Source organism: Homo sapiens, chromosome 1, assembly GCF_000001405.40.
Source record: "Homo sapiens chromosome 1, GRCh38.p14 Primary Assembly".
In the NCBI taxonomy this organism is placed as follows: Eukaryota; Metazoa; Chordata; class Mammalia; order Primates; family Hominidae; genus Homo; species Homo sapiens.
The window spans coordinates 77,984,697-77,998,198 of NC_000001.11; the positions used below are offsets into that span (position 1 = coordinate 77,984,697).

The 13,502-nt window shown below is 38.7% G+C and overlaps 1 protein-coding gene across 4 annotated transcripts in view; it reads left to right on the forward strand.

The window, feature by feature from the left end:
• The window catches only part of DNAJB4 (DnaJ heat shock protein family (Hsp40) member B4), a 38,790-nt gene that overhangs the window by 5,522 nt on the left and 19,766 nt on the right, over positions 1 to 13,502 (forward strand). Inside the window, exon 2 of one of the 4 annotated variants that reach the window (NM_001317100.2) lies at positions 8,058 to 8,170. The exons of the other annotated variants lie outside the window; for them this stretch is intronic. Within the exon in view, the coding sequence (NP_001304029.1) occupies positions 8,080 to 8,170 (91 nt within the window). The 5' untranslated portion in view covers positions 8,058 to 8,079. The remainder of the gene's footprint in view (positions 1 to 8,057; positions 8,171 to 13,502) is intronic. 4 annotated transcript variants of the gene reach the window in all.

Here is a 13,502-nt window from a genome sequence, read left to right on the forward strand (position 1 = left end):
TTTATGTTGGTAAAAGTTTAATAAATATCAAGTTGAATTCTTTATTCCACTTATCATTTTCCTACAAAGCTACATATGATTATGAATGTGGAGGGCCTTTGAGGCCAGATGGCACTGAAGGGTAGTTTCACACAAACTTTTCTTAGAATATCAGTCTTGGAAAGACCTTGAAGGTAATCTCGCCCATTTGTTTCATTTTATATTGGAGGAAACCATAACACAGATTGCTGAGTGCCTTCTACAAAGTGCCAAGATTAATTGCAGAGCCAAGACTAGATTTCTAATCCAGTGCTCTTTATTTTGTGAACTGTCTTCTATATGAAGCATCGGTGTTTGGGTTGGAGGTTTTCTGCTTCTTAGGTACAAGAGGAAGAAGAATCTGTACAGAACCAAAAACATCTTAATTTTTGTAATCAGGATGTCTACCTTTACTGACAACATTTACTGACAACATTTCCTTCTGAAAATAGGTTATTGAAAGATCAAGGATCTTTGCCAGTGAAATCCTTAACTGGAAGTGGGTGGGTACAAGATAGAAAACTCATTTGGTATAACAATTTTGTTGTTTTTTAGTGGAACCTTGCTTCTCTGTTCTGACATTTCCATGTCTCTATTTATAGTAGTGATCTCTTTGGAATTTGCCTTCTGATTCCATTTGTTCCTTTATGTTGCTTCATATTAACTGATATTCTCACTTCATTTAAAAAAAATTTGAAGGGACATGTACTTAAGAAAAAGGAATTAATTTTTTTATAAGAAATATCTGGAGGTACTATTTTTCTATGGTTTATCATAATCATTGTTTATGCCAGGTTATCTAATTGTAGCAATAATATAAATACTATTTTTTCAAGCAAGAATGTTAGTTTTAAAAAATTTATGTGCATATTAAGCTTTAGACACCTTTTATCCAGGACAGATATTACCTTTAGATTCTTAACAACCTTGCTCCTTAACTATGCACTTTGATATAAATGAAGATTGAGAGGTTTTAGTTAGAGCTTTTAAGTGGTAAACGGTCAAGGGCAGGAGCTATCTTATTTACCTTTGAGATGACAATAATGCCTGGCATCTAGTAGGTCCTAATTAATCTATTCATTTATTCAATTCAACAAAAATTCTGGGCATTGTTCTAAGTGCTAGAGATACAGTAGTAAACAAAATAGACATATATCTCACCGTCTTGTCTTGAGCATGCTAGTGAGTGAAGGTGGATTGAAACCATGGATCACTTTGCAGAGACTCCCTATTGTTTTCAGACAATTATTTGTATCAGTCTAACCAATAATATCCTGTAGCTAATTAAGCAATGGTTTGAAGAGTCAGAATGGGAGAAGCTGAATGATCAGATAGATCATTCATTCATTAAACATTTAATTTCCTAGTGTATGTTAAATTATTTGAAACAAGCTAGTGAATGTGAGTCATTGTCATCCCAATTGTCAGCCTGATTCTTGTGCTCTGTTTATATCTTGGGGTAAAGACTTCAAGCTTCTGGCCAGGTTACAGCCCGGGAACTTCATCTCAGATCACATACCACTGAATCCTAAGTGCATAAAATAATGTGTGCCATGTAGTAAATATTACTACATTAATCCTTAACTACTCGAAATGCAATTTCCTCACTACTTATGGCCACAGCCTGCATCTAGTCTTCATCCAGACAACTCAAACAATAAAAATCTTCAAGTCTGATATTCTCCTCAAGATGACCTCTTGTCAGTTTGTTTCCTAATGTACTTCTTCCGTTCCTCTAGTCTCTTGACACTTCTCTTTTCTTTCCATCTCTTACTTGCTGGCTTTCCTTCTTTGCCATTCACGTCAGTAATTCTCAACTCCCACTCCCCTTTGTCTTTTAGTTGTGTCCATTCTTTAAATCAACAACTCTTAATCAGTTCAAATTGACTTTGGAGTCGGATGAACTTCAAATCACCATTTGCTACTTCAGTGACCTTGCCAAATTCTTTAACCTTTTTTGAGTTTGTTTACTCCTTGTCACCCTAAGCATTGTTTTGAAAATTAAATGAGATTATTGTATCCAGATACTTTTGACCACAAGTAATGAAAACCCTTATTAAATGGCTTAAATAATAAAAAATCCAGGGGTAGAGTGGCTCTAAGGCTGGTTGATGAGCAGCTCAACAATTTATGAGGTACCCATGTTTTTTTCATCTTTGCCTTCTACCACCCTCAGCTTCTTGACTTTACTCCCCTAATGATTGCATAATGGTTGCCACAGTTCCAGGTGTCATGCAGTCATGATTGTTAAATGGAAGGGGAAAGTTTCTGCTACCAGTGTCCCTACCCTCCACCCCTGCCACAACTGCCAATCTTATTAACCTTGTCCTGACCAGAGTTGAGTCACAGGCTTACTCTATCAAGTGTCATACTGGCTTAGAATAATTAGGATTCATCTCAGGGGTGAGGGAGAGGCCCCACTTTCCTAGTAATAGTTATTCTTACTACTGCATTTGTGAGTGCTAGGACTCAATCCTTGTGCCCTTTTACCCTATCTATGATTCTAGTAATTTCCTCTAGTCTCATGGTTTCAAATATCACCTACACTCTTCCCAAATTTTTCTCTTTTAAGAGACAGGATCTCTGTCGCCCAAACTGAAGTGCAGTGGTGCAATCTTAGCTCACTGCAGCCTTGAGCTCTTGGGCTCAAGTGATCCCCCTGCCTCAGCCTCCTGAGTAGCTAGGACTACAGGCATGCATCAGCACACCTGGCTAATTTTTAAATTTTTTGTAGAGATGGGGGTCTCGCTATGTTGCCTAGGCTGGTCTCAAACTCCTGGCCTCAAGCAGTCCTTCTGCCTTGGCCTCCCAAAGTGCTGAGTTTGAGCCACTGTGCCTGGCCCCATGCATCTTTATTTTATATGTCCAATATTGAACTCCTCAGTTTCTCCCTTCTCCCCTCTCTATTTTAGTAAGTAGCAAGTCTGTTCTGTGTTTGCTGAAGTTGAAAAACCTTGGTGTCCTTATTGGTTTTTCCTCACATTCCCTGTTTGATTCACCAGGAAATCCTGTTGACTCTACCTTTAAGATATATCCAGAAGTTCACCACTTCTCATCACCTCCACTGCTACATCATGGTCCAAACCACCTGAATATATATGTATATTGCTACTTCAGTGACCTTGCCAAATTCTTTAACCTTTTTTGAGTTTGTTTAGTCTTTGGCACCCTAAGCCATATGTATATATGTATATATATTTTATATATGTACATATATATACATAAAGATTTTATATATATACATAATATATATGCATACATTATATATATACATAATATATATGCATACATTATATATATATGTGTGTGTGTGTATTTCCCCCCCCCCCCAGACAGTGTCTCACTTGGTCACTCAGGCTTGAGTGCAGTGTATAATCAGAGCTCACTGTAACCTCAAACTCCTGTGCTCAAGCAATCTTGCCTCGGCCTTCTGAGTAGCTAGGGTTACAGGCATGTGCCACCATATCTGGCTGACATTTTTTATCTTTTGTAGAGGCAGAGTATTGTTATATTGTCCAGGCTAGTCTGAAACTCGTGGCCTCAAGCTATCCTCCTGCCTCAGCATTCCAAAGTGCTGGGATTACAGGTCTGAGCCACTGTGCCCATCAGTTCTTATTGGTCTTCCACCCTTGCCCACCGTCTTTCCCACGCTGTTAAGAATCAAAGTGACCTATCATTCGCGTAAAACTCTCCAATGGCATTGTATCTTCCCTCAGAATGTAAGTCAAAGTCTTTAGTGGCCTACAAGCCTCTGTATTGCATCTGTTATTTCTCTGACCATCTTTCAACCCCTTCACCATCTCTATCATTCTGACTCAGCCACCTTGCGGTTCCTCAAAGATGCCTTGCATTCCCTCACTTCTAGGCTTTGGTGTTTGATATTTCCCTCTATCCAATAAGTTCTACCATATGGATGCATAGCTTTCCTCCTTTCCTTTCAGATTGTAGTGCTAATATCATTTTCTCTGAAATCATTTCTGGCTACCCTATCTAAATTTTGAATCTCCTTATTTACATTTTCTGCTTTATTTTTCTTAGCTTTTATCACCGTCTAACACAACTTACAGTATTTAAAAATTTTTATTGTATCTCCCCCTACTAGAATGTACAGAGAATGAGGCAGGGATTTTTGTTCATACTGTATCCCTAGCACCTAGAAAGGTGCCTTGGCATATGAAAGGTCCTTAATAAAAATTTGTGAGTAAATGAATGTTCATTCATTCTGGTTTCAGCTGGGTCCTTAGTGGGATTTAGTAATTGTTTGTTTCTGATCAGCTGCTTCCCTATTTTCCATAATTGACATACTGAACTACCACCATTCTTATCAAACACCCTACTTTACTCTGAATCCTTAGCAGTGGATGTCCCCCCACTCCTCTCTTTTTAAACAGAGTATTGATACTGTGTATGAACTTCTTGGTCTTCCTAGTCCTTTTACTTTCAAATTTATAAATTGTCGTCGTCTACTTCCTTTTGCTCTCAGAGCCCACCTCTAATTTTATTCACGTCTCATCTACTGGTACTCTTGGTATCAAATCGTATCAAATTTTATCTTCTTTGAGATGTCATTTAAGCAATTATTTCTTTTATTATATGTCTTACATGTTTTTAAATATCCTCCTCTATATTGTTTTCTTCTTCTCTGGACTATCTTAAAACCTCTTTTATCCTTTCCTTATTACAAGTCTATCTCCTTCAGACAACTTGTTAGAAATATTTAAATTTACCATTTCATTTTCATTTCCCTCTTAATGTTCAATTTACCACATTCTAGCTTTTATTGGTCACAATTCTATCTACCTCATAGAATTCTGAGAGACTAAATGAGGATACATGTGTTTTTAGGTTAATATTTTTTTGAGGGCTCACCAGGATTAACTATTACTACTGAAGCCAAAATCATTCTCACTCTTACAGATACTTTTCTATCATCTTTATTTACTTTTCTGTATCCCTCATGAAATAGCTTCTGTCTTTTGGTTTTTGGACACTAGTGGTGTCAGGATGCCTTCAGCTCCAAGTAAGAGAATCTCTTAAGTCCAATGATAGGTAGTTCCAAGATTGATTTAGAGATGCAACACTGTCAAGTTAGGCTCTTACTGTCTTTGTATTCTGCCGTTTTCACTGTGTCATAGACGTCTACCTTTAGGATTGTAAGAATTTCATTATTCAAAAACAGGATGCAGTGCTGGGGTTTCTCCTTGGTGGATATCTCCTTATAGGGAGGAAAATCCCCAGAACATCTCTCTTACATCTCATTGGCTAGAACCATGTCACATGTCTGCCCTTAAACAATCACTGGCAAAGGAAATACTACTGTGATTGATTTAAATCAACCCTGAGCCATCCCCAAGAGACTGGGGGATGCTCTCACCTTCCTTGAGTTCATTACTCTATTTCTGGGAGAAGATATCTGTTAGCTAGAAAGAAGATATGAATGGTTCTTTGGTATGTAACCAGCAGTGTCTGCCGTAGCATTCTCACCTGGTTGATCTCTGATGGTTCCTTCTGTCTTTTTTATTGTCTCCTGTTGATTGATGTGCCCCTTAAATGCTGGTCATCCCAAAGTTCTGTCTTTGATTCTTTCCAAAAATTGTTCCTCCTTCACACTATAAAATATCACTTGCATTAGGATCCTTTCTAAATATTTGTCTCCAACTAATATTTCTAAGCTCCAGTTCAGAATATCTCCTGGATGTCTTCATCCACGTTCAATTCAAATGAATATTGTTGTGTTGGTTTTTGGTGAGTCAAAAATTAAATAAAATTTACCTTATATTATCTTACATTTTAATGAGGTAGTTAGCCAGAGAAATAGATAACTAGGAATGCAGTCTTATGCAGCAAAACTTACCAACTATTGAAGTAGCATAGATGAAGGGGTTATTAATAAGGTTACAGGAATGTTCACAGTAGAACTTGTCTTTACACTTAAAAAGTACTCTTCTTATATTCTATACTTTCATTAGTAGCACAACTGTGCACACCTTTGTCAATCCAGAAATGGGCAGTCTGAAATCCTTCCTCTTCTCTACATCCAGCTGATGGGCAAATTATACAGATGCTATTTCTTACTACTTAATCCTACCTGTTGGTCTGGTTATATCATAGTCATCCTACTTTAGGTTCTTGTTATTTCTCATCTCTTTGTGATTCATTCATTCAGTAAAAGTTTATTGAACAGCAATATATTGTAAACGCCTTGTTCTAGAAATAAAACAGGACCCCGCTGGTTACAATCCAGTGGATGAGGCATAAACACACAGATGGTTATGTAAGGTGATGTGTAATACAGTGGAGATATGGGGGGAAGTGTAGGAGCTCAAGGTCCGGGGAATCTAACCCAAGTTTGGGCTTCACAGAAGCCCATCTACAGGGTGAGTCTCAAAGCAGAAGTAAGCTAGGTGAAGGGCTCCTGGAGTAGGGAAGAGGGAAATACACCTACACACATGCCCTATTTGCTTTATATATAACAAATATCCCTTCAAAGGTATTAACTTTGGTGCCTGTGTACTCATTAATGTTACCGTTGTTCAAAAACAATTTTTTAACTGATTATGGTTAATGCAGAAGATTCTCAGTAATGATATTATTATACAGTTGATTCTCATTATTTGTCAGTTCTGTATTTATGAATTTGCCTACTCACCGAAATGTATTTGTAACCCCAAAAGCAATACTTGAAATGCTTTCAAGGTCATTTTTAGACATACGCATGTTCAGAGTGGCAAAATATTTAAGAACTAGCTGAGCTTTGCACAGAGGCTCACATCTGTAATCCCACCACCTTGGGAGGCTGAGGCAGAAGGATTGCTTGAGGCCAGGAGTTCAAGACCAGCCTGGGCAACATAGTGCAACCCCTCCCACCATCTCTACACACACAAAAAATGAACTAGCTGAGGTTGAACAAGTCAGTGGTCTGCCCTCATGTTTCAGCTCTCATACTTTTAAACAAGTCTCCTTTTCATGGTCCATTTAGTGCCACATTTTTGTATTTTTGTGCTTTTTTTTTATTGGTGACTTTACTATTTAAAATGGCCTCTAAGCATAGTGCTAAAGTGCTGTCTAGTGTTGCTAAGCACAAGAAGGCTGTGATGTGCCTTACAGAGAAAATTCAGGTGTTAGGTAAGCTTCATTCAGGCATGAGTCATAGTTCTGTTGGCTATGAGTTCAATGTCAGTGAATCAACAATATATATTATTAAGGTATCTTTAACAGAAATACACATAGAAGAGGTTATGTATTGACCAGTTGATGAAAATGTGACCAGAGCCTGGCAGGAACCTAACACTGTATTTCCCTTAGGGGCAGTGATTCACTATTCTCTAATTTAGCATTTGGGATGATTTTATAGAACATAACCATGGCAAATGTTTTATAGAACATAACTATGGGTTTTATAGAACATAACAAATGAGGCCGGGCGCGGTGGCTCACGCCTGTAATCCCAGCACTTTGGGAGGCCGAGGCGGGCGGATCACGAGGTCAGGAGATCGAGACCATCCCGGCTAAAACGGTGAAACCCCGTCTCTACTAAAAATACAAAAAATTAGCCGGGCGTAGTGGCGGGCACCTGTAGTCCCAGCTACTTGGGAGGCTGAGGCAGGAGAATGGCGTGAACCCGGGAGGCGGAGCTTGCAGTGAGCCGAGATCCCGCCACTGCACTCCAGCCTGGGCGACAGAGCGAGACTCCGTCTCAAAAAAAAAAAAAAAAAAAAAAAAAGAACATAACAAATGAGAATCAACTACTTCAGGGTAAATTTCATTTTGGGAAATAGCCATTATCATTTATGACCAGGACCGATGAATTAGATGGGAATGGTCAAGGGGAACAATACAGAGGTATGATTATTAAACAGTCTTTCTCTGCCTTTTAAAACACATGCCACCCTTTTTGATAAGCATCTCACCTCACACTTTAAATATTCTAATATATTCCCTTTAGCAGTCATGTCCAGGTTGAGAATCAGCGTATAAGTTTTATTTTACCATCAGACAAGCAAAAACAGGTTGACCTTTATTCTTTTTTTTTGAGACAGAGTCTCTGTTGCCCAGGCTGGAATGCAATGGTGCGATCTCAGTCACTACAACCTCTGCCTCCCGGGTTCAAGCGATTATCCTGCTTCAGCCTCCCGAGTAGCTGGAATTACAGGCATGTGCTACCACACCTGGCTAATTTTTGTATTTTTAGTAGAGACAGGGTTTAACCATGTTGGCCAGGCTGGTCTCGAACTCCTGACCTGAGGTGATCTGTCCGCCTCAGCCTCCCAAAGTGCTAGGATTATAGGCTTGAGCCACCGCGCCCGGCCTATTTCTGAGTGTTTATTGTAAAAACTATAGTTTTTAAAGTTTGCCAGATGCAATAAAATTTTATCATGTTTAGTGCTTTATTTAGACTTTGCTCTCCCTCCAGCGAAGAATAATTTGTATAAAGCAGAAGTTGGCAAACATTTCCTGGTAAGGGCCAGACGGTAACTATTTTAGGCCTTGTGGGCCATACAGTCTCTGCTGCAGCTACTCAACTCTACCGCTGTCTGGCAAAAGCAACAATAGACATTAGGTATTACTTTATATAGTTATAGTATAAACTCCTTTTTCTTTTATTTTTTTTCTTTTTTGAGATCGAGTCTCGCTCTGTCACCCAGGCTGGAGTGCAGTGGAACAATCTTGGCTCACTGAACCTCCACCTCCCGGGTTTAAACAATTCTCCTGCCTCAGCCTCCCAAGTAGCTGGGACTACAAGTGTGTGCCACCACATCTGGCTAATTTTTTTGTATTTTTAGTAGAGATAGGGTTTCACCACGTTGGCCAGGCTGGTCTCGAACTCCTGACCTCAATTGATCCGCCCTCCTTGGCCTTCTAAGGTGCTGGGATATAGGCATGAGCCACCGTGCCTGACTTATTTATAGTATAAACTCCTTAAGGGTAGGGACTATGTATTATACTGTTTTATCCTTCATGTTACATGTAACAGTATAGCACAGTGGGGTCTCAGTAATGGTTGGCTTGATATGCTGATTTGACCTAGATAACAAAAAGTTTATATTTTTGAAATATTAATAACTTGAACATTAAAACCCATCCATTTACAGTTAATTTATTTTAGAGATATATTTTTCTCTAAATATCCTTCTTTAGACAATTATAATAGTTCAAGCTTATGCATTTGGAATTAGGTAGTCAATGGCTGAATTTTATAGTAGTTGGTAAATACTATAGGACATACGGGCTTATTTATATAAATGTTCTAATACTTATATTTGGTAGCCATTATTAAAGTCTTCGAATCATAGTTAAGTCTCCATGGTAGCAGTGGTTTCGTGATTATGTTTTAATGGATGCAGTATACGATAAAGTTAATTCATAGTTAAAGTTTGGTACTGATTTAAATTAAATCATTTGAGAGGCCAGGCACAATGGCTCACACCTGTAATCCTAGCACTTTGGGAGGCGGAGGTGGGAAGATAGCTTGAGCCCAGGAGTTCAAGACTAGCCTAAGCAAAATAGGGAGACCCTATCTCTACAAAAGAAAAAATAGCTAGACATGGTGGCACATGCCTGTAGTCCCAGCTATTTGGGAGGCTGAGTTGGGAGGACTACTTGAGCCCCGGAGGCTGAGACTGCAGTGAGCCATAATGAAACCACTGCACTCTAGCCTGGGTGACAGAGCAAGACTGTCTCAAAAAAAAAAAAAAAAGAAAAAAATTATTTGAGAATTGTAAACAATTAGCTAAACAAACTTGCTAAATAATCAGTTTGTTGCAGTCTTGGCTAAGAGCCTAATAATTCAATGAAACAGCTGCATATCCTCTCCTCCTCTTGGGCTACAGACATTTTTTTTCTGTGTACTCCTTAAACTACTCTCTCTCTTTTTTTTTTTTTTTAACTACTCTCATTTTTCTAATGAGCCAATTAAGATGACATCTCAGGCCACATATAAGAAAAGAGTATGAGAAGAGACATTTTAGAAAAGATAAAAGTGAAAATCACGTAGATTCCTCATTTCCAAGTGTTGCTTTTACAATTAAACATTGTGAAAGTGTATGTCAACTGAGCATGTGTAAATACATTCCTACTACCTTAAGTGTAAAGTATTATTTTGAAAAAAATTATCATATTGTTTATATGGATGAACAATGTAGTACTATTTTATAAGTAAAATAGAGTTCACCTGTTAAGACTTTATTTACCCTAAATGTGCATGTGAGAGGTATGTATGTGTGGTATACTTGGGCTGAGATTCACAGGCTGAGATTTCTGAAAAATTGGATTATAGTACTGCCGACTAGAAGGAACCACTAGATCTGCACTGTCCAACACAGTAGCCACTAGCCACATGAGACTCTTAAGCTACTGAAATGTACCTATCTGAATTGAGGTCAAAGTGTAAAATACATGCTGTATTTCAAATATTTAGTACAAAAAATAAAGAATGTAAAGTATTTCATTGATAATTTGTATTTTGATTATATGCTGCAATGATAATATTTTGGATTTACTAGGTTAAATAAAATACATTATTAAAATTAATTTCACGTTTGTTTTTACTTTAAAAAAATATGGTTTCTGGAAATGTGGCTTGCATTTGTAGCTTGCTTTATATTTCTGTTGGACAGCACTGGTCTAAATAGTGTGATCTTTCAACACAGGCAAAATGTTATAATGAAATATTAGTTTATCAAGACCCATTTAAAATGATGTAGAAACTCTAGCTCTTTTTAAAATTTTTTGGCTAATACAGTGTTTTTGGTTTTGAGACAGTCTTGCTCTGTTGCCCAGGCTTGAAGTGCAGTGGTGTCGTGATCATGGCTTATTGCAGCCTCATCTCCCTGGGCTCAAGTGATCCTCCTGCCTCAGCCTCCCAAGTAGCTAGGACTACAGGTGCATGCCACTACATCTGGCTAATCTGTTTTATTTTTTGTAGATACGAGGTCTCACTATGTTGCTCAGCTGGTCTTGAACTCCTAGACTCAAGTGATCCTTTTGCCTTGGCTTCCTAAAGTACTGGGATTACAAGTGTGAGCTATCACCCTGGGCCTAACTCAGTGTTTAAAATCAGTGTAAAGAACACTTTATTTTAAATTAGCTGGGTGTGGTGGCACATGCCTGTAGTCCCAGCTACTTGGGAGGCTGAAATAGGAGAATCACTTGAACCCGGGAGGCGGAGGTTACAGTGAGCCCAGACTGTGCCATTGCACTCCAGCCTGGGCAACAGAGTGAGATTCTGTCTCAAAAAACAAAACAAAACAAAAAAAGAACTCTTTAAATTATTTCAAAATGCCAGAAAAGTATATTAGCTCGCCATACATTCACTAGTCATTAGCAAGCTTTCAAGGACTTATTGTAAAAGAGGGTAACAAAGAAGGGCTAGTTGTTGCTTGAATATTTTATTCATCCCAGTTAGAATAAGTTAGTTCTATACTCCCCAAAAAAGGAAATGATATATATATTTTTTGGATACAGGGTCTTATTGTGTCACTCAGGTTTGAATACAGTGGCATGATCACGGCTCACCTGCAGCCTTGACCTCCTGGACCCAAGCCATCCCCCTGCCTGAGCCTCCTGAGTAGCTGGGACTACAGGCACATGCCACCATGCCTGGCTGATTTGTAAATTTTTTGTAGGGATGGAATTCTCACTTTGTTACCCAGGCTAGTCTCAAACTCCTGGGCTCAAGTGATCCTCTCACCTCGTGCTTCTAAAGTGCTGGGATTACAGGTGTAAGCTACTGCACCTGGCTGATTTATTTTTTTAAGTATAAAATATGTCTGATCCCCTGGGTGTCTCCAAATCTAGTAATTTCTATACATTTAAAGCAATTTTATTTTCTTGTTTTTTGAAAGGTAGGTACTTTTTAATTTTTTAAACAATTTAAAATCTTGTTTTAAAGACCACTAGACAAAAAAATTAAATGTATATATTATAGTGCTTCGGGGAAAGTATTATAAAACCAAGCCATGACACAGTATCAACATTTGAAAACTTGGGGAATTACTAATATTACTGTAGCGATAAAATGGAAATTTTGATGATACAGACAATAGTCCACAGAGAATTATGACTAAAATTATTCTTCCTACCAACCATTTTAAGTTAGTTTGCCATCTTATGTTGGTGCTCTTGGAGGCTTACAAATTATTATTATTTGAGACAGGATCTCCCTCTGTCACCCGGGTGGACTGCGATCACGGCTCACTGCAACCTTGAGCTCCTGGTCTCAAGTGATCCTCTAGAGTAGCCAGAACCACAGGCGTGAGCCACAGCGCCTGGCCAGGAAGCTTACAGATTATTAATGAAACTTTGTTAAGAACCCTTTACCTTACTGACAACCAGAAAAGTAATTTCACTGGTTTGGGAATAAATGGACACTTAAGAAATGAAGCAACCTCTTCAAGTAATTTTTTTTCAAAGACCAAACTATTGAATTAGTGCTTTTTGAAGAGCATAAAAGAGCAGTCATCAAGTGTGACATTAAAAACTTTCAGCTGGGTGCAGTTGCACATGCCTGTAATCCCAACACTGGGAGGTTGAGACGGGAGGATTGCTTGAGCCCAGGAGTTTGAGACCAGCCTGGGAGACATAGTGAGAACCTGTCTCTACAAAAAAAAAAAAAAAAAAATCTATATCTATATCTATATCTATATATCTATATATATATTAGCAAGATGTGGTGGTGGTGTGAGCCTGTAATACCAGTTACTTGGGAGGCTGAGCCCAGGAGAGATCATGGCTGCAGCGATCTGTGACAATGCCACTGCACTCCAGCCTCGGTGACAGTAAAACCCTGTCTCCATAAAAAAAACTTCGAACAATCTGACCGTAACTTATTTTCTGCCAGCTTCCCAGGGCAAGCCTTCCTAATTTGCATGCATTAATCTCACCAGTATTTTTGCTGTATCAAATACATTTTATGCTCTTTTGCTTCTTGACTTAGTGTTCCTGATCCAAATTGCAAATTCTCCCTTTCTCTGTCAAAATCTATCAGTCTTTCATGACTTTGCTCACAATTTTCTGTTCTGAAGTCTTTCCTATCCCCACCACTCCAGCCCAAGTTGAGGATAATAATTAACTTTTTTTTTCTTCTTTTCTTTTTGAGACAGTCTCCCTCTGTCACCCAGTTTGGAGTATAGTGGCATGATCTTGGCCCACTGCAACCTCCACCTCCCAGGCCCAAATGATCCTTTCACCTCAGCCTCCTGAGTAGCTGAGACCACAGGTGCACGCCACCATGCCCAGCTAATTTTGTATTTTCACGGGGTTTTACCGTGTTGGCTGGTCTTGAACTCCTGGCCTCAAGTGATCTGCAGTCCTTAGCTTCCCAAAGTGCTGGGATTACAGGCGTGAGCCACCGCACCGGCCTCTGTTTGACTATCTTTAAAGCTCTTAAAACGATCTCATTTCGTTATTAACTTTTTATTGTTTGTCTTCCCCCTCTAGAATGAGTTGAATGAGAGCAAGGATAATGTCTATCTAGTTAACAGCAC